Here is a 21,342-nt window from a genome sequence, read left to right as displayed (position 1 = left end):
ACAGGGCCAGGAACAGTGCCTATTTCCACCAGCCCGACTGGAAAAACTAATAACTCACAGGTGATTGGGTAGTGTTCTCAAAAAGGTCTTGTCTCAGTAATGGGGAATAAATGGCTGTAGGCTGAACACTACTACAGACCCAACTAACAAATCATAAAAGCAAGATCTAAAAGCATTAAACTATTTCCAACTAACTTTAATGTATCCCCGAACAAAGCTCAAGAAGACTTACAGAAATACAAAATTGTCAGCAAGCAATAAGGTGAAAATTACAATGTTTGGCATCTAATCAGATTACTAGATGTGGAGAGGCAGGAAAATACTCCTCAAGCCATAATGAAGAGAATAACTAACAAAACAAAACCAATTCAGAATTGACATGGATGTTAGAATTAGAAGAGAAGGATGTTAAAATAGTTATCATAGCTGTATTACATATCTCCAAAAAGTTAAGTAGAGACATAGAAGATGGGAAAAAAATTAAACTTCTAGACTACTACAATGCCTGAGATGAAACAGGAACTGGATGGGATTAGCAGAAGATTAGATATTGCAGAAGATAAATAAACTTGAAAGCTACCATAAAAACTACACAAAATAGACAGAAAAAAAGAATTTTAAAAAAATTAAGAGAAACAGTGGGCTGTGAGACAACTTCGAGCTGCCTAATATATATGTTACTGGGGGACAGAAAAAAAATGTTTGAAAATATAATGGCTGAAAAATTTCCAAACTTGATAAAAACCTATAAACCCACAGATCCAAGAAGCTCAACAAACCCCAAGCACAAGAAACATGAAGAAAAATATACCTAGGCATATCACAATCAAATTTTCCAAAACCATTTGTAAAGAGGAAATCTTAAAAGCAGCCAGGGAAAAAAGACATGTTACTTATAAAGGAACAAGAATAAGAATGTCACAAAATTTCTCAGTGGAAAGATGCAAGCAAGAAGATGGTGAAGAAACATCTTTAAAATGCTGAAAGAAAAAAGCCTGTCAACCTGGAATTCTATACCCTACAAACACACATTCTCAAAACAAAGACATTTTCAGACATAAAATCATCACCAAAAGACTTACAACACAAAAAATATTAAGGAAAGTTTTTCAGGCATAAGGAAAATAATATAAAGATGGAAATCTGGATCTACATAAGAGCATTATGAATATGGGCGGAATTTTGTCAAAGCCTTTTTCAGAATCTATGAAAATAAAAATAAGATTTTTCTCCTTAGATCTATCAATATTATGAGATTTCCTAATACTGAACCATCATTGCACCCTACCCGTTTGGTCATGGTATATTATTTTCTTAACATAGTTCAATTTAGTTTTAAAAGACTCATGTTCTTAAAAAGAATTCATGGTCTCAAAAATGCTATAAAGATAACATGAAAAATACTGGACAGAAAACTACTTATTCTGTGGCCAAAGTATATAAGTTTCTGTGTTGTTTAGATACCAATGTATTAGGTTATAAGAAAGCTACTATAACTATTTCAGAACTACCAAATTTATCTATAGATAGCTAGAGAGTAATAATTAGATACTGAAAAGCTATAATGTATCTCTCCAAATATTTGTTAGTCAGAAGAAAAATAGCATCATCATCCCTTTCACAGGAAGGTAGAACTATAAAATTCATGCAGCTTTAGCTTCCTCTGGTAGCTTTAATATAACAATACATGAGAGTATCAATTCAAACAGGAGTCACATGAAAAAGTAAGGAAGAAAGGATGCCATAGTCTCACATTTATAAAGAAACCTTAAACTCACAATTGTATGTAAACGAATATTTGCATTTACCTTCTAAACAGTGTTTCCAAGCTTAGAGCTTAATCGATTTTTGCCAACTTCCATTGGCAAGGACTTTACAAACTTAGCTCTGCAGAAGGACTAGACTCAAATACCTCATTAGATAAACAAGGTCAACAAATATTCAGTGTTTATCAAGAGAGTCTTAAGTGCTTTCACCAAAGCAGATCCTAAAAGCAGGAAGCAATATACCAGTATACTCACTATTCATCCCACAAAAACAGTCCTAAGCAGTCAAAGGTATAATACCCTCAAACATTTATATTTCCTTATAAACACTTCCAGTCTTAGGAATGAATGAGTCCTGACAACTTGAGGCAGTGCTTTTAGGCAAGAGTGATGAAATGAACCAAAAGGAAGACTCTTGTCTTCACTGTTTTTAGGAAACACACACACGTGTGCACGACAGATATCTAGGATATACCAACTGAATAAGAGATACACCATTCCTCCTTAGTAGAAGGATAACAGACTTCAGGGGAAAAGCTTCCATTGCTGGGCCTTCAAGTTCACTAACTTTTCTTCTGCAATGTCTAATTGGCCATTAATCCTATCCAGTGTATTTTGCATCTCAGACATTTGCAGCTTTCGTCTCTAGATTTGGTAGATTTGGGTCATTTTTATATACTCTAAATATTATCATATTCAAACAGATATCTAAGTCCAACTTTCCATGCAGAATTAACTGGGCTCCTATTATTAATAAGCTGTTCAAGAAAATCCTGTTACAATTGTATTCTTTATATTTTAGCTGGTTAAGCTGAACAAGAACTACAAAAAGTTCTAGCTAAAGTACACAGTTTAATAAAATTTACCCTGAGTTGTGAAATTGCTGCTTTCCCTTCCTCACTTTCTTCATCAAATTCATCATCACTCCACTCCCAGCCTCCATCCTCTGTCTTATGAAGACGCCCACTGGAACCTGGTACTCTCCGAACCTGCTCATTAGAAAGAGAAGTGGGTTATGGTGGTATTTCATGCTTACTAAGTAGAAAACTCCATATTTCTCTCTTCTTCTATCACTTCAATCCATTAAGTAGATAATCATTTTCCCCATAAATGTTCCCATACAAATTCATATCCTCCAACCATCACCTGCTCTCTGTTGACAATCTCTACTACCTGTCTTTAGTAACAACCGCTGTACTTCTATACTCTGAGCCCAAACATCAAAATCCTTTTTATGTAAAATCACAGGTAAAATCTGATTTTAAATGTCCTGAGACATTTAAGGAAAAAAAAAAAAGAGGTTTTGGGTGCTCAAAATGAATAAACCCAAGATTTAAAATCTGTTATTTTTTCTTTTTGTTAAGTCAAAATTATACTTGCATATGATTTCAAGAGCACTAGAGCTGTGCATGTTTTGTTAAGAAAAACAGCAACCTCCTAACCTTCAGCTTCATCTCCACTGGCAACCACTTTCAACTCATTTTAGCTAATCTTTTTTGGACATTCATCTCTTGAACATGTGTTCCTATCATTATTCACTGATTTTTTGGTTTTAGGAGTTATCTGTAGGACTTCCCACATAGAAGATGAAAATTTAACTCTGTTATGAAATCTCTATTCTTTTCTCAAGATACACTATAATTTTGGTTAGATCAATATTCAATGTTTACATAACATGATTATATATATCATATTCAGAGCTGAACCTTATCATACATTACCACTTCTATTTCCCCTGTAGTTAGTATTTATTCTCTCAGCTGTTTATAACTCCTTTTACCACATTCAAATGGGTATTCTGTCGGTATCATCTTCTTGAAGAAGACTCTCACCAGAACCTCCTGATCTGTTCCATCCTAGACTGGTTTCACAGCATGTCTCCTATTTCAGATCAAATTCTACCATCAGCCAGAGGATTGTGCGTCCTGGATCACATGACTTCTGTTTTTAGTTTAAGCACCATCTCCACTATTAGCATGTATTAAAGTCATGCATTTCTGAACTTATCTTGATTCCATCTTCACACTTCATTCATTGTTTGGTTAAAAAAGAAAAGGCTGCATCAGTAATTATTTTCTTTCATACCTTTGAAGAAAACTGCCTCATTGTTTGGCTTCCAGAAGTGCTGCTGAGGTCATCATGACTCCTGATCCTGTCTGTGACATTTCCCCCCTCCCTGGAAGACTACAGAGTCTTCTTTTTGCCTCCAGTATTCTGACTTATCATGGTAATGTATGTCAGCATTAGTCTATTTTCATTAATTGTGCTGAGTACTCAAGACTCTTTCAATCTGGAAATTCCTGACCATCCAGTTTTGGACATTTTTCTTGAATTATTTTGTCAATGATTTACTTTCTTCTGTTTTTCTCAGTTCTCCTTTTCTGGAATTCTCTTTACTCAAATGCTGTACCTTCTCAAATGGTCCTCTAATCTCAGCTTTTTTGTTATCTATATCTGGGCCTTTTGAACTCTTTTCTGGGAAATTTCCTCAACCTTTATATTGAATTTTTCATTTCTTCTGTTTTCAATTTCCAAAAGCTTTTTGTTGGTACTGGTCCTGGTTCTCTAAAAGCTCCCTTATAATTCATATACCATACAACTGAACCACTCAAAGTATACAGTTCAATGATTTTTAGTATATTCAAAGTTGTGCAACCATCACTACCATCAAATTTAGAACATTTTTATCACTCCCTACAAGACATGCCATACTCTTTAGCAGTAACTGCCCATTTCTCTCCAAAACCCCCAGTCCTAAGTTACCACTAATCTACTTTCTGTCTCTTTACATTTGCCTATTTTCAACATTTCACATAAATTGAATCACACAACATGTGGTCTTTTGTGATGGGCTTTTTAAACTAGCATAATGTTTGAAAGGGTCATCCATGCTATAGCATGTATCAGTACTTCATTCCTTTTTATTGTCAAATAATATTCTACTGCATGAATATACCACATTTTATAAATCTAATCATCAGCTGATGAGCATGTGGGTTGTTTACACTTTTTGGTTATTACGAATAATGCTGCTATGAGCAGCGTACACATTTTTGTGTGGACTTACGTTTTCAATTCTCTGGCGTGTGCCTAGGAGTAGAACTGCTGGGTCACCTGGTGACTTTGTTTAGGCTTCTGAGGAACTGCCAGACTGCTTTCCAAAGTGGCTGCACCATTTCACATTCCCATCACCAGTGCAGAAGTGTTCCAATCTCTCCACATCTTTACCAACAGTTGTTACTGTCTTTTTGATTATAGCCATCCTAGTGGGTGTGAAGTGGTATCTCTTTGTTATTTTGATTTGCATTTCTCTGATGGCTAATAATACTGAGTATCTTTTCATGTGTTTATTGGCCATTTATGTATCTTCAAGAAGTTTCTATTCAGATCCTTTGCCCATTTTTAAAAATGTGTTGTCTTTTTATTATTGAGTTGCAAAAGTTCTTTATATATTCTAGATACAAGTCCCTTATCATATATATGATTTGCAAATAATTATTCCCATTCTGTAGGTTGTCTTTTCACTTTCTTGCCAGCGTCTATTGAAGCACAAAAGTCTTAATTTTTGATAAAATCAATTTACCTACTTTTTCCTTTTATTGCTTGTATTTTTGGTATCATATCTAAGGAAGCTTTGCCTAGCTCAAATTCCCAAAGGTTTATAGCTATATTTTCTTCCAACAGTATTATAACTTTAGCTCTTATATTTAGGTCAACAATCCATTTTGAGTTAATTTTTTGTAGGACGAGAGTAAAAGACCCAACTTCATTCTTCTGCATGTGAATATTCAGTTGTACCAAGGCCATTTGAAGATGATGATTCTTTAGTCTTCACTGAATTGTCATGGCACGAAAGCTTCTTTAACAGTGTCATGTTCACTTTTTGTGAATGTAAACTCTTTTTTTTTTTTCTTTTGAGACAGGGTCTTGCTCTGTCACCCAGGCTGAAGTGCAGTGGCACGAACACAGCTCCCTGCAGCCTCTACCTCCTGGGCTCAAGCGATCCTCCTGCCTCAGCCTCCTGAGCAGCTGGAACCACAGGCACATGCCACCATGCCCAGCTAATTTTTTTTTTTGGTAGAGTCTGGGTCTTGCCTTGTTACCCAGGATGGTCTAGAACTCCTGAGCTCAAGCAATCCTCCTGACTTCTCCTCCTAATGTGTTGGGATTTACAGGCATGGGCTACCACTCCTGGCAAATATAAACTCTTATCTCTAAAGACAGTCATGATTTTATTTAAATTATCTTCCTATATAGTCTGTTTCCTGTAAGTTTCTCTTTTTTTCTGTTTATTTTGACCTCTATTTTTCACATTAAGAGGTTTCCCTGAGGTATCCTGTGATCCTAGATCTATGCTCATATTTAAGAGCAAGGAACTAAAGCACTGATTGGAAACACTGAGCTTTTAAGTGGGTGGAGTTTGCTTCACTGCAGAGTGATGTGGGTGAGCATTTCCCACCTCCAATGTCAATACTTCTGTTTTTCCTCTTAGGCTAGTCAGATTGATCAAATAAGGATTTTTCAACGTCTTGTCTATGGGGTAATAAGCCTTAATGTTTATGTTCCAGGAGTTGAATGAAGTGATATGGATAGATTCTTAACATTCAATGTGTAAACAATTACTTAAATGCCCTTTTCAGTAAGTTATTCCCATGTTTAACTGTGCCTGGTGTCCTTCAGTTCAGAGACCATTTCTTTTACCCTTCTGCAGAATAAACCTCCAGACATCTCCTGGAGTGCAGCATGGAGTGGGGGAGGGACCAGAGTCTAACTCTATCTTAAGATTGTCAACCAATCTTCCTGTTTTTAGCCCTACTTTCACTCTCATTTCTGGAGGTACCTGGCACTATTAATTCCCTTACCTTTCAGGGTTCTGTTGTATATGGTAGCTTTCAAGCTTTTCTTAATACTGGCTTAGCAATTATAGTCTGCTGATTTGCCAAGTCCTTTACCACTAATTTATGGGCATCAAAGTTTTGAAAATTTGGTTGCAGCTTTCACTTCTCTCATTTTTTGTCCACTAGAGGTTTATGCCTTTTCTTTTTATTCTCTTTTTTCTTTTCGTTTTGAGACACAGTCTCACTCTGTCACCCGGGCTGGAGTGCAGTGGCATGATCTTGGCTCACTACAACCTCTGCCCTGCAGGCTCAAACAATCCTCCCACCTCAGCCTCCTGAGTAGCTGGGACCACAGGCACGCACCACCATGCCTGGCTAATTTTAATTTTTGTATTTTTAGTAGAGATAGGGTCTGCCATGTTGCCCAGGCTGGTTTTGAACTCCTGAGCTCAAGCAATCCATCCGCCTCAGCCTCCCAAAGTGCTGGGATTACAGGCGTGAGCCACCGTGCTTGATCTCTTTTTATTCTCTTAACAGTTCTTTTAGTAGGTAATTTTTGGCAGGAGGGTGGAAATATATGCAGGTATTCACCCAGGCTGAAGTACAGTGGTATGATCACAGTTGACTGTGCCTTCAACCTCCCAGGCTCAAGCGATCCTCCCACCTCAACATCCTGAATAGCCGGGACCAGAGGTGTATGCCACCATAGCTCATTAATTTTTAAATTCTTTTTATAGATATGGGGTCTCACTATGTTGCTCAGGCTAGCCTTGAACTCCTGCGATCAAGCTATCCTCCCACCTCAGCCTCCCACAGGTGCTGGGATTACAAGCGTGAGTCACCATATCCCCGGTCTGAGGCTCGCTCTTCTTTTGTTTTTTTTGAGACAGAGTCTTGCTCTGTCGCCCAGGCTGGAGTACAGTGGCACAATCTCAGCTCACTGCAACCTCCCTCTTCTGCATTCAAATGATTCTCATGCCTCAGCCTTCCGAGTAGCTGGAATTACAGACATGTACTACCACACCAGGCTAAGTTTTGTATTTTTAGTAGAGACGAGGTTTCACCATGTTGGCCAGGCTGGTCTTGAACTCCTGGCCTCAAGTGATCCACCTGCCTTGGCTTCCCAAAGTGCTGGGATTACAGGCATGAGCCACTGCACCCAACTTACTCTTCTTAAATTAATCAGATTTCAGATATAAATCAACACGTATCTCAGATGGGATTTATTATAAACAATAATAAGCATAGAAATTTTATACATATTATTAATAAGCATAAAAATATATACATATTATTTAAGAATATCCTGTGTGTCAGGAACTATTCTAGGCACACTGAAGATACAGCAATGAAAAAAAGTCCCTGTTCTCATTAAGCTGTTATTCTAATGGTAAAGAAACACTGTAAAATGTCAGATGGTGATAAGTAGGGTAAAGGGATAGAGAGTCATGGGAGGGTACTGTTTTAGTAATCAGAGAATATTATTCTGAGGAAAGGCCAATTGAGTAGACTTGACATAAAGTGAAGGAATGAGCCAAGTGAGTTTTTAACCTAGTAGCTATCCATGAGAATAATTGTCCAGGTCTCATCCACTAGAGTCATGACTTTAATTGGTTTGGGATGACATTGTCCATGTTTCTTTCTTTTTTTTTTTAAGTCCCCAAGTGATTCTGATATGTAACGATGCATTATAGCCACTGAAAAAGATATATCTCTAAAATAGAGACAAGTTAACTGTTTTACCAGTGCTTATTAAGAATATCATTTCCAAGTATTTAATATACATTTCTGGTTCTTCATTGTGTTAAATTCTTGGAATGTATCAAAATTCCCAAGCAGTGAGATCTACGGAAGAGAATAAGCCACTGCTAGACATAATGCTTCTAACTTCTTGGACAGGCCTACCACTATATTATACAAGGTGTAAGACCTTTACCTTCTTCAAGTCTATCATCAGCAGAAGCCCAAACTGCCTCCTTTCCTTCACATTGGATAAGTCTGCTTGAGCAGAGAAGTAAGAGTGAGGAAAAGGGAGGATTTTCTTCTCCCTGCTCTCACAGAGGTTCATAAAAGTATCATGGACAGGAAGATTAATATATTCTGCCCAAACTGAGATATTAAAGCATTCTGTATGCTCACATCATGACCAAACTTCTTAGAAATTACATATGCGTAATAAAGTTCTTTCAGTCTTTCTGTAAAGGCAGTAGAAAATTTGGAGTTCCAAAGAGGGTACTGTGACTTATACCCAAAGCTATAAATGTCATGTAAAATCACAACTCACTCTGGTAGCTGGAAACAGTTATCAAACAGAGTTTAGAATTAATTTACCAATTACTGTCTAGCATCCCTTTTCATCCTAAAAGATAGCAGAGTAATACCAAGGCATATGGTAGACCAAAGATATTTGCTGAATGAATGTATCAAAGAATGCTTTAGAAAGGATCGACAGAAAACCAGTAATTCTCATATACTATTAACAATGTATTACTTAACATGTTTTCAAAATGCAAAAATAAAGTAAATTCTTCAGGAAAACTGAGTTAAATTCTGATTTACCTTTTTTGCTCTTTCAGAAATGGTTGGTGCTCTCTGCAATGTTTTTTCTTGAAGAAATTCTTTATTCTGGAGAGGAAAAGTAAGTATTTTGTTCTTACAAGTTTTTAAGGTACCAAAAAAAACCCACAAAAAAGTTCACCATAATCAAAATGTGATATAGTAACTGTTCTGTAATGAAGTGTGAGAAAAACTTTCATTCTTTCACTCTGAAGCTCCTTTAGTATGTTACTACCACAGTTTCATAAATTGAGGCAGAAAATTAAGATGTAGTACACTGTATGAACCACTGTCTATGAAGAGTTTGCTGTACTGTATGTTCTTTGAGATCATGGTCCTACATTTCCAACTACAGTAACATCCTACTATCTGATATATTTGGGAAATGAGATGTTTACAAATTCAGTAGTAAACCTTAAAACCAGAGTTCGGTATTTTTCACAAATTATATTTATAATGGCAAAATTTAATAATCATTGTTCCTATGATCAGTTTAACCTAATATTTAAAAACGGATTTACTAAATTCTGAAGCAATTATCTTAATTATCAAAGACTGTATACATAGTGCTTTCTGCAATTATTTTATCTACCATCATTTTTCCAAACATAATCATCCAACTTCTAAGCACTGAACATAATCTGAGTAATTGAGGAGCATCCTATGAACACACATAATCAAAAGCTGGAATTTCCTACCTTTGCTTTCTGGAAAAATTTGTGCCTTAATAGTTCTGCTGCTGTTGGTCTAAAACCAGGAAGGGAGGGAAGAAAAGTTTTTATAATTAATTCAAGTGTAATGTCAGATTCCATCATCAAAAATGAGAAAAAATTTTTTTCAACAGCAAAATAAAAACTCAGTATACTCTACTTTCCTTAAACTGCTAAAAAGCAAAAGTAAAATAAACTTGATACAGGACATTGAATAAAATAAAAAACTCAAAACAAATATTCTGATAATTATTGTAGATTCTTTGAAAAAATCATTAGTGAAATGTTTTTTCTGGAAGCATGATTTCTTAATAGAGTCTAATATATTTGCTATTTAATAATATTAATTTAATATTTAATATTATTTCCCAATAAGTAAGCTAGAAAATATCTATCTAACATTTTTAGCAAGGCATAAAAATATATTTAAACACACAAAGAGGAAATGGACCAAATCAAGACCTCCACTTCTTGCCACATGGTAGCCTGCCAGCCTTCAATTTAGGTAACCACAGATCCCTAAAAACAGATTTCACAATCTCCCTTTAAAAATGAAAATTCTAAAAGTATATTCCCCAAATTTAACAAAACTCAGTGTTTAACTCATTTCTTCATGGTCTTATTTCCTTTTAAGTAAAGACACGACTGTCAATTTTACAAGCTTTTAAAAGAGTATCATTCAGAATAAAGAATTTAACATTTAAGAGACTGGACCTGATTTTGCCACACACCTACCTGATCCTGAGCAAATCACAACCTCTCTAAGGTTCAGTATTACTTGGCCAAGCCCCTAAGTTCTTAAACACTGCTGTGCATTGAACTATCTGGGAAGAATGTAAAAATCCCAATGACCAGAGGGCACCATGGCTCATGCTTGTAATCCCAGAACTTTGGGAGGCCAAAGTGGGTGGATCACGATATCAGGAGTTCAAGACCAGCCTGGCCAATATGGTGACACCCAGTCTCTGCTAAAAAAACCACAAAAATTAGCAGGGCATGGTGGCGTGCGCCTGTAGTCCCAGCTACTTGGGAGGCTGAGGCAGGAGAATTGCTTGAACCCATGAGGCGGAGGTTGCAGTGAGCCAAGATTGTGCCACTGTACTCCAGCCTGGGCGACAAAGCAAGACTGTCTCAAAAACAAACAAACGAACAAACAAAACCAATGACCAGGCTGTACCTCAAACCAATTAAAGCAGAATCTTTAATTGGCTTTAGTAATGTTTAAAACTCCCCAGGTAATTCCAATAGGCATTCAAGTTTAAGAACCAGCACCTCAGATGATTATTATAAAGATTAAAAAGCTGAATAAATGTGAAAGTGCTATGCAAACTGAAATCCTACATTATCACTCTTATTTTTTCATATGCTCAACAATTGCTTCTCAATATGCTCAACAATGTGATTGCTCAACATTGCTTCTTATTATTCATTCCTTTCTTCTGACTTCATTTCCTTCTTTCTAAAGTACAACTTATGGGTTCTTTAAGTGACAGAACGTGACTGGAAAACTCAATTTCTGTGTGCAAAATAATTTCATGCTCATTCTTGAATGATAGTCTGACTAGCTGGAGAACTCTGGGTTAAAGTCACAGTCATGAGCCTCTTAATGCTTTGGCCAACAATATACTGTGTATCTGACAGTAGTCAGAGCAACAGGCTACACTAAATAGCCTAGGCATGCAGTAGGCTGTACCATCAAAGTTTGTGTAAGTACACTCCACGATGTTCAAACAATGACAAAACTGCCTAATACACATATTACAGAATGTATCCTCATCATTTTAAGTGACACATGACTGCATTTTCTCTGAGCATTTCACTAAACGCTGGCCTCAACTGTTGTGTTATTGGGGAAGTAGCTGTCAAGTCTACCTGCTAATCCTCAGTAGGTAATCTGTTCCCCGAGGTTGCCTGTAGGAGTTTGTCTTTGCTTCGTGTCCAGTAGTTTCACAGCAACTTGTACAAGTGGAAGAAGGGGGACACTGCTTGGAATTCTGGGGGGATGGTTCTTTACTCTGAGAATATAGGTCTTTCATCAACTCTCGAAAATTCTCAGCCATTATTTCTTTGAATATCGCTTCTCCTATACTCTCTCTAGTCTTTCCTGGTAAGTTCATGTATATGTATACGTACATTTGTGTGTGTGTGTGTGTGTGTGTGTGTGTGTGTGTGTGTGTGGATGTGCATACACACAAACATACTGAACCTTCTCAGTCTACCCTCCAAATGTTAATATTTCTTTCATATTCCCTCTTTGATCTTTCTGTGCCACATTCTGAGCAATTTCCTCAGTATAGTGTAGTCTGATTAAAACAGGTTAACTCTAGTCCAATTGCATGGGTCAGAATTCTGATTCCACCATTTATTAGCTGTGTGACTTTGGAGAAGGTTACTTAACCTCTCTGTGATTCAGTTTCTTCATTTGTAAAATAAAGAAAATAACAGTGCTATCCTCAAAGGATTACTGTGAGAATTAAACAATATATGTTAAGTGTTTACCACAGTGCCTGGTACTTGATGAGTAAATAATCTCTTTTTTGTTTTATTGGTTGTTCTGTTTAACCAGTCCATTGTGCGTGTTATTTTAACTTAGCAATGTTCTAAACAAAGTTTAATTTTGGTTTACAAACTGGAATAGATTTTCTATAGCTTCCAGTTTTCTTAAAGTTTTATAATAATTTTAGACTTACAGAAGAGCTGCAAAGCTAGTACAGAGTTCCTACATGCCATTCACCACCTTCTGCTATTGTGAACCTTTTACATAACCACAGTATAATAATAAAGAAATCAACTAAAATATCAACACTGGTACAATACTATTAACTAAACTACAGACTTCATTCCATTTCTCCAGTTTTTCCACTAATGTCCTTTTTCTGTCCCAGGATCTAGTATAGGATACTCTTGCTTTCCGTCTTCACGTCTTCTTAATTTCCTCCAATCTGTGACAGTTTCTTAGTCTCTCTTCCTTGACAGTTTTGAAGAGTGCTGGTCAGGTATCTTGCTGCATATTCCTCGATTTGGGTTTGTCTGATGTTTTCTCATTATAGACCGAAGTTACGGATTTGGAGGAAGAATACCTCACAGGTTATATATATGCCCTTCTCATTGCACCATATCAAGAGGCACATATCAGTCTTATCAATGTATTATTAATAGTGATGTTAACCTTGGTCATTGGGTAGAGGAGGTGCATTGTAAAGTTGCTATTTTTCCTTTTTCATACTCTACTCATCAGAAGTGAGTCAACAAGTCCAGCTCACACTCATGGAAAGTTTTAAACATTAATCACTGTATTTTTCATTTCTGGCATTGCTATTTGGTTCTTCTGTCATAGTCACAGTCTTCTCTTGTGGGTCTGATTTCTTCTAATTTTAATTATTTTCAATATACTTAATTTTGTATCTTTTCAGATTTTCACTGCATTACCTAAATCTTCTGGAGCACTAATCCTTCTGCTTGTGTCTGCTAACTAGTTCATAATGCATTGTTTCACTGTGTGTTTCTTAATTTTGGATTGTGACCTTATTACAGTGGGGCATTATGTTCAGGAATCCAATGGGAGCTAGAGTTTGAAAGTGTTCTTCCAGTGCAGCTCTGTGACTACTTCCGTCAAAAATAAAAACTGATTTGGTAAAGCTTTTTTAACTTTCTAATCCTGTGGGTTCCTGGATAACATAGGGAGTATAGACTCTAAACCTGTGGAATGTCCAGGTTGAAGGGCTTGATTATTCAGGAGAGGTTTTTGTTGTCTCTTGGTGATGACAATTTTTATTCTTGTCTATCCTTTTACTAAGGATACTGACATCTGAAGTTCTTAGCTTTAAGAAGAATCTCAGTTCAAACTCCCCACTGGGTGGACCCAAGATCTCACTTCCAGTTTTCACATGGGAGTTATAAATCCAAATCAGTAGGTTACCAGAATGAATAGTGACCCACTGAAAACAGCCATGGGATTAGTTCACAATATTTCTTCTTTAACTTAGGGCTTCCTCATTATTTCTGGCATCTGAGAATCTTTAAGTTGGATAGATTTTATCTGGCATTTCTAGGTATTTGTAACAGGATAATTTTGTTCCTTTAACCAACTAATTTGATAAAAGAAAAGTGTTTCCTGTCTTTTTTAACTGTTTACTCAGAAACAGAAAAAAAAAAATTATAAAAACACAGGTATAAATTTTGCTACCTGTTTTTCTTACCCTTTCCAATATTTCCAACAATAAATTCTGAAACCCTATTACATACACTAGAGATGTGATCAAGAACATCAAAGTCTTTCCCTTTTAATGATCTTTAGAGAAACAAAAATTAAAGAACTCAGTGCTAAGAAGCTGAGTGGAATATATATGTGAAACAGACAGATAAGATTCAGAAGGAACAGAGCCCTAAGTTAGGAATCAGGACTTTGAGATTCAAGTCCTACTCCTATGACTAAGTATCAAGTGACCTCAAAAATAAAAGGTTGTACTCAATGATCCCCAACATTCTACGATTCTGCTTAATTCATGAAGTTACACATATCGGATGTTCTTATTTATTTGCTCACTTGTCATTCAATCTGTCTAACATTGATAAGGAAGCTATTTGAATTTTTGGTCCACTTACTAAAATATCTTTCTAACATGGAAATAAGTATGATTATTACACTAAATATAAATTTTCTATGTGTCTTTCCTTTATTAATACTGTAAATGGCATTAAGACATTCATTTATAAATTTTAAATGCAAATTAAAAACAAATCTCTCCACTAACTTGGCATTTATTAATACAGAATTCACAATGTACAACTTTGTAAGAAATTAACAAGGAAAAAGCTGAACTATTTAGGGTACACTGTATACTACAAAGAAGGCAGAAATCAATTCATTTCCAATCCAGTATAATGGTCTCTGTATACTTTTTTAAAGTTTATATTTAGTTCTTTTGAAAATAATTTCCTGTACATATGAGTATGTGATTCTTAGACTTCTCACAATGTTTTATTAGAGAGAAAAGTAGACTTTTTCTCATATTTTACCTTTTTTCTGGATCTTTTTGAAGGCACAATGAAATCATTTTTCTAAATGATTTTCCATATTTTTTCAGCATTTCTTTATCTTGAACACCAGTTTCCAAAGAAGGAGGATCGTTCTGCAGTGTCAGCATTAAAACCTGCAAGAATTTTCAATATACTATAAACTTGTGATGACTCAGTAAAGTTTAACTATTGTGGTCAAGATTTTTCAATACAGGCACCCCCCGACCAACATACAAACATTTTATTTTCTGTAAGTTCATATCTGAATCAGTTGTTTAAAACCCAGAGTTATTACGTGTATTTCACGTAAATAATCTGCTGTAGATGGTTAGCTTCTCAACACACACACGCAATGGATATTATTCAGCCTTAAAAAGCAAGAAAATTCTTCAACATGCTACAACATGGATGAAACTTGGGGACATTACGCTAGCCATGCAAAGATAAACACTGTGTGATTCTACTTATATGAGGTATTGAGAGTAGTCAAAATCATAGAGACAAAAAGTGATTGCCAAGGGGCTAAGAATGGGAATCAAGAGTTACTATTTAATGGGTATAGAGTTCCAGTTTTAAAATGAAGAGTTTGGATACAGATGGTGGTGACAACTGCACAACGTGATGAACGCATTTAATACCATTGAACTATATATTCAAAATGGTTAAAGATGATGGTCAATTTTATGTTATGTGTATTTTACCACAATAAAAAAAAAATTAAAAGACTGGCAAATGGCTCTGAAAAGGAATTGGGACTTGAGCTGGGGTAGTATTTGGAATACAAGCCTCACCTTCATTGGTGGATATTTATGATAAGGAGCCGCCCCTGTAGCCAATTCAATTGCTGTAATTCCAAAACTCCAAATATCAGCTTTGAAATCATAACCACGGACCTGCAAAACAGATTTGCATGATTATTTTTACCAGCATAAAAGGACTTTTAAAAGTTAGCTTCTGGCCAGGGTGGAGGCTCACACCTGTAATCCCAGCACTTTGGGAGGCTGAGGCAGGCGAATCACCTGAGGTTGGGAGTTCAAGACCGGCCTGACCAACATGGAGAAACTCCATCACTACTAAAAAAAAAAAAATACAAAATTAGCCGGGCACGGTGGCGCATGCCTGTAATCTCAGCTATTCGGAAGGCTGAGGCAGGAGAATCGCTTGAACCCAGGAGGTAGAGGTTGCGGTGAACTGAGATCATGCCATTGCACTCCAGCCTGGGCAACAAGAGTGAAATTCCACCTCAAAAAAAAAAAAAAAAGTTAGCTTCTGAGGTGGGGCACGGTGGCTCTTGCCTGTAATCCCAACACTTTGAGAGGCTGAGGTGGGAGGATGAGGTGGGCTTGAGGCCAAGAGTTCAAGACCAGCCTGGGCAACATGGTGAGACCCCATCTCCACAAAAAAAAATTGTTTTAATTAGCTAGGAGTGGTGACGTATGCCTACAGTCCAGCTGCTCGGGAGGCTAGCTTGAGCCCAGGAGTTCAAGGCTGCAGTAAGCCATGATGGCACCACTGCACTCCAGACTGGGAGACAGAGCAAGACTCTGTCTCTAAAAATAAACAAACAAAAAAGCTACCTCTAATGTGTACCAAGAACAATGAAAGTGTTCATAAGCTTTAAACCAATAAAATAAAGTAGGCAAAATCTAAATATATTTGGTAATACAAAAAATAAAGACACAAACTGAATGTTCACCAACAGTGAAGAAACTGTTAAGTATGGTATATTTTTAAAATTACAGTCAATTAAAAGCAATATTTATTAATTCTATGTGAACATATAAAAAACATTTGTGATAAAACATGAGGAAAAAAACACAAAATTGCTCATACGTCCTGAAACTTTTACAAACAGTAAAATACTAGAAAGAATCAAAACAAAATGTTTTGTAGTGGGGTAGCTTTTTTGTTTTCCAAAGGATCTGTATTATGGTATTATCACCTTAATTTCTATAATGAAAAAGTTAGGAAGGTTGTGAATACTTTTAAACTTTTTAGAGTGAATATGTTGCCAAATTTCTCTACTTATACACTGTCACCAGCACATTACATGGTTATAAATTTTAATTTTCTATCCTAAGCAATATAGGAGAAATAGGTTTGGGGAGTGTGTAGTGTGTAAGACCTAAAATTAAGGATCAATAGTATGTGCTGCCCTGCCATCTGGTAAAACTGAAGGGCCTCTAGAGACCTAAGCAGAAGTTCCCCTCCCCACTCTGCTCTTGCAGATAATGTCTCCTAGCCCAACAATCCTCCTTATCAAACGACCAGGTACAGTTCCTGCTTGCCCCTGAGAAGCAGATTTCGGTTCCGTGTCAGCCAATCTTATCTTCTCAAGGAAACCAAGGGGCATCGCAATCTGCTGGTACTACAAAGCCTGTCTCCAAAGCCCCTTCTCGTTCATTCTGTTACTCAGTGCAACTCTGCTGGTCCTGCACAGCATGCAGTTATCCTCCTCCCCTAGGCTGTGAGTATATGTGACTAATAGACAGCTGTCAATCTCATCTGTCCAGTGTCAGGTGTTGTATGTTCAGCCATTCCCATAACTTTACAGTGGGAATCCTTCCCTCACCAACAGGGTGAATACAGGTGATTAAAACAGAGTAAAAATGAATTCGGTTCGCAGCATACTGAGTTTGATATACCTATAAGGCATTTATGTGAAGCATCTATTAAGAACTAGAAATAACTATATGGAGGCTTAGGAAACAAAACTGGACATAATTTAGAAATCATTAAACCAATAAATCTATATGTAAAATTTGGTATAATTTGTACTAATAAAATTATTAAAACAAACCTCAATTATATTATTCCTGAGTTTCATATATCCTTTGCAAAGTTCTAGAGAGTTTTTGTTGTTTTCTTTTCAAGGGTGGACTAAAATCCTAACCAAGGAACAGGGACATGTTTCCCAAAGCTAACCTGGTATGCCAAAGAAAAGCAAGCACTATTAAGTTTTTTCAGTTTCAAAACAAAGCCCTAACCCATTTAAAACAGAAAAAAAGACACGGTACCTGTTCCATAACTTCAGGTGCCATCCAACAAGGGGTGCCAACAAAGGTCTTTCTCACTTTATTTCGGGTAATATCACCACCAGTTGCTAAAAAAGCACTAACCCCAAAGTCTGAAATAGAATACAACAGCAAGGTATTTAAAGTGCATCAACTATCATAAATGAATAGGAAAACAATACAATGTAGTGAACATCCTATATATAAATAAAAAGCATGATAGTTTCTTATCTTTTTGCTGAACTTCTTGACTAAATTAAGACATAGCTTAGACTAGGAACAGTGGCTCACACCTATAATCCCAACACTCTGGGAGGCCAAGGCAGGAGGCTCACTTGAGCTCAGGAGTTCAAGAACAGCCTAAGCAACATAGGGAGACCTCATCTTTACAAAACAAAAAAAACAAAAAAGACATAGCTTAGCAGGTACCTCACTCCATTCCTCTCCACCCCCACATATCATCATCTTCTCAGATTTTCCCCCTTGCTCTAATCCACTCTACATACCACTATCAGATTCATTTATCCATTCATTTTTAAATTATCACTTTGACATGGCCCTTTCAGTTCAGAAACTCCTACAGAATGAAATCCAACCTTTTTAGCTTAGTATTCAAAGAGCTCTCAAGAACTCAGCCCCAAATAAATCAGAGTTCGTAATTCTAAACACATATCCTAACTTCACCTCTTGGTAGATGTATGACATTGGTAAACTTAGTTCACCTCTCTAAGCCTCAGGATTTTCTCTACAAAGATTTTGTCCCACAATACTGAAGCCAAAGTACCAGTCACTGATGAGGAGGACTGCCTGCCTCACCATGATCCCCCCTTTTCTGTAAATAGCCCTGGTTGTGTATCTGTACTCCCTCACCTTGATCCCTGGGCATACCTGATTTGAGCCAGGGTTAGACACCTTAATCCAAAGTAGGCCTATATTAGTCTCCTAGAAATGTGAAGCTTGAATGGAAAGACAAAGAAATTAAGGGTCACTGGAGCTGAGCCATGCTAACAGCATCCTGAAGGTCACCAGCACAACTGGGTTCCTGCCCATTCTGAGGCTAGATTTGTTTTATTCTGTGTATTTCCTAGTGTATTTCAAAAATTTCTGCTTTGTTAAGTCAGCCAGTGATAATTTCCAATACAACCAAAAGAACTTTAACTAATATAGTGAGGCTCTTACACACCTTATCCAACTTTTATACACCTTTTCTGACTCCCCTTTTGTTTTGTGTCCATTCCAGAATACTCTGCATTATGTTAAATGAGTCTGTATTTGTCCATAATTTGTTCTATTTTCAAATTGAAAACAGAATTATAAAATAGAAATTATGAAAATAGAAATAAATTTGAAAATACAATAAATTACAGAAAACCCAATTGTGAGAAGGCTAATTTTAGCATGGCAAACTTTAAAATTCCAGATTCAGAAGTCTATGAATTCTGCCATTTTCAAACAATTATTTGAAATAATTGCTTGTCTATACAGTACAGTTTAAAAATAGCAAGTCTATATAGTACAGTTTTAAAAACAATAATCTTGTCTGAATGCACTTAGAATTATAAAAAAAAAACACACAATAATCTTGGCTGGGCACAGTGGCTCATTTCTGTAATCCCAACACTTTGGGAAGCTGAGGCAGAAGGACCACTTGAGGCCAAGAGATCAAGACCAGCCTGGGCAACACAGTGAGACCCCATCTGTACAAAAAATAGAAAATTAGCTGGGCATTGTGGCAGGCACCTGTAGCCCTAGCTACTTGGGAGGCTGAGGTAGGAGGACTGCTTGAGCCTACGAGTTTGAGGCTGCAGTGAACTACATTTGCACCACTGCACTCTGGCCTGGGTGACAGAGCAAGACGCTTTCTCTAAAATCATCATCATCATCATCATCATCATCATCATCATCATCATCTTAACAGTTTTCAATACTCCTAAACCGGGAAATATCTAAAAACTTTAAAATGTTCCATTTGTAACAACAATAACAAAGTAAACAATTTGAAGTGCATATGAAGGGGAAAAAGTACATTTAGTGCATTCAGCTCTGCCACTAGTCAGCTGAACTTGGGCAGGTATTTTCAATCTTTGTGCTACAATTTCTTCATCTGTAAAAAGGAGGCAGTAACAGTACTTACTTAACAAGGTCGTTGTTAAGGATTAAATGACTTAATAATATACTTAGAACAGTCCCTGTAATATATTTTAATACTAAACACTCAATAAGTACTAGGTATTCTTATCACTAACCAGAGAGACAAAGTCGTGCCTTAAAATACTTAAATATGATAAAGACTCAAACAACTTATGTATATACAACATATTTTTTAGGTTGAATTATGAAGAGTTTTTACTTTTTAAAACCTACTAAAAACCTTCAAGTAGCTTTAAAATATTCAGAATTTTAAACCCAGAACTTAATAATGATCCAGAATTTTTGTATCTTCAGCTGGTATACCTCTGCTTGTTTCCAAGTGAACCCTGAAGACTAGTTAAAACATTTAGCTAAGGAATGTAAGTGATAATACCCCCTTTACCAAAATATTCTTGTTAAATAACCTGCACAGCTACAATGCTAAGGAAACATAATCAATCCAACCATAAAGTTAAAAACAGAAACCAAAGAGCAAAAATGCCATTTGCCTTTCGTTTTAAATTGCCAACTAAAGAGAAAGAGTAACTTAGATGTGAAAAAAATAATTTAGTTCCTTCATTAACAAAATTTCAATTAAAGTTCAAGATGGACTTTGGTGCCTATTATGTGACAGGATTAAAAGTAATGATCAAGGAAGACAAGGTCCCCCCCTTTGTGCAACTTCTAATATAGAAGGTGGAATCAGGCAATTATAATACATTATAATAAGTGTTATCTGTAATAAGGTATGAAAAAGTTAGAAGCCCCTAAACTATAAAAACTCTTAAAACATAGGAGAAAAGCTTCATGACACTGGCGTTAGCAATGATTTCTGAGATATAATACCAAATTTCAGGCAACAAAAGAAAAAGTAGATAATCAAAATTTTAAAACTTTTGTGCATCAAAGGTCACTATCAACACAGTGAAAGGCAACCCACAGACTGGGAGAAAATATTTTGCAAATCATACATCTGATAAGGGATTGGCATCCAAAATATGTAAAGAACTCCTACAATTCAACAACAACAACAAAAATAAAATAAACACTCCAATTTAAAAATGGGCAAAGGAATTAAGGAGTCATTTCTCCAAAGAAGATATACAAATGGCCAATAAGCACATGAAAAGATGTTCACCATCACTAATCAATAGGGAAATACAAATCAAAACCACAATGAGATAGATAACACCTTACATCCCTTAGAATGGCTACCACCTGAAAAAACAAAAAACCCAGAAACTAACAAGCGTTGGTGAGGATGTGGAGAAATTGGATTCTTGTGCACTCTTGGTGGGAATGTGGAGAA

General features: G+C 36.2%; 1 protein-coding gene across 9 annotated transcripts in view; it reads right to left on the bottom strand.

Annotated features, from left to right (window-relative positions):
* Nucleotides 1–21,342, bottom strand: part of OXSR1 (oxidative stress responsive kinase 1) — a 91,422-nt gene that overhangs the window by 15,891 nt on the left and 54,189 nt on the right. For 8 of the 9 annotated variants that reach the window (XM_011534331.3, XM_017007601.2, XM_024453851.2 and 5 more), the window contains 6 exons: nucleotides 17,907–18,016; nucleotides 15,681–15,782; nucleotides 14,890–15,023; nucleotides 9,859–9,907; nucleotides 9,164–9,229; nucleotides 2,633–2,755 (listed from right to left, as the gene is read on the bottom strand). In XM_011534331.3, the coding sequence (XP_011532633.1) occupies nucleotides 2,633–2,755; nucleotides 9,164–9,229; nucleotides 9,859–9,907; nucleotides 14,890–15,023; nucleotides 15,681–15,782; nucleotides 17,907–18,016 (584 nt within the window). Of the gene's footprint in view, nucleotides 1–2,632; nucleotides 2,756–4,833; nucleotides 5,030–9,163; nucleotides 9,230–9,858; nucleotides 9,908–14,889; nucleotides 15,024–15,680; nucleotides 15,783–17,906; nucleotides 18,017–21,342 lie in introns of those variants that run through there. The other variant, XR_007095781.1, reaches the window with a different exon arrangement.

The sequence above is a fragment of the Homo sapiens genome, chromosome 3 (assembly GCF_000001405.40).
Source record: "Homo sapiens chromosome 3, GRCh38.p14 Primary Assembly".
Classification (NCBI taxonomy): domain Eukaryota; kingdom Metazoa; phylum Chordata; class Mammalia; order Primates; family Hominidae; genus Homo; species Homo sapiens.
Note: the sequence above shows the minus strand (reverse complement) of the source record. Positions and strands in the feature narration are given on the sequence as shown.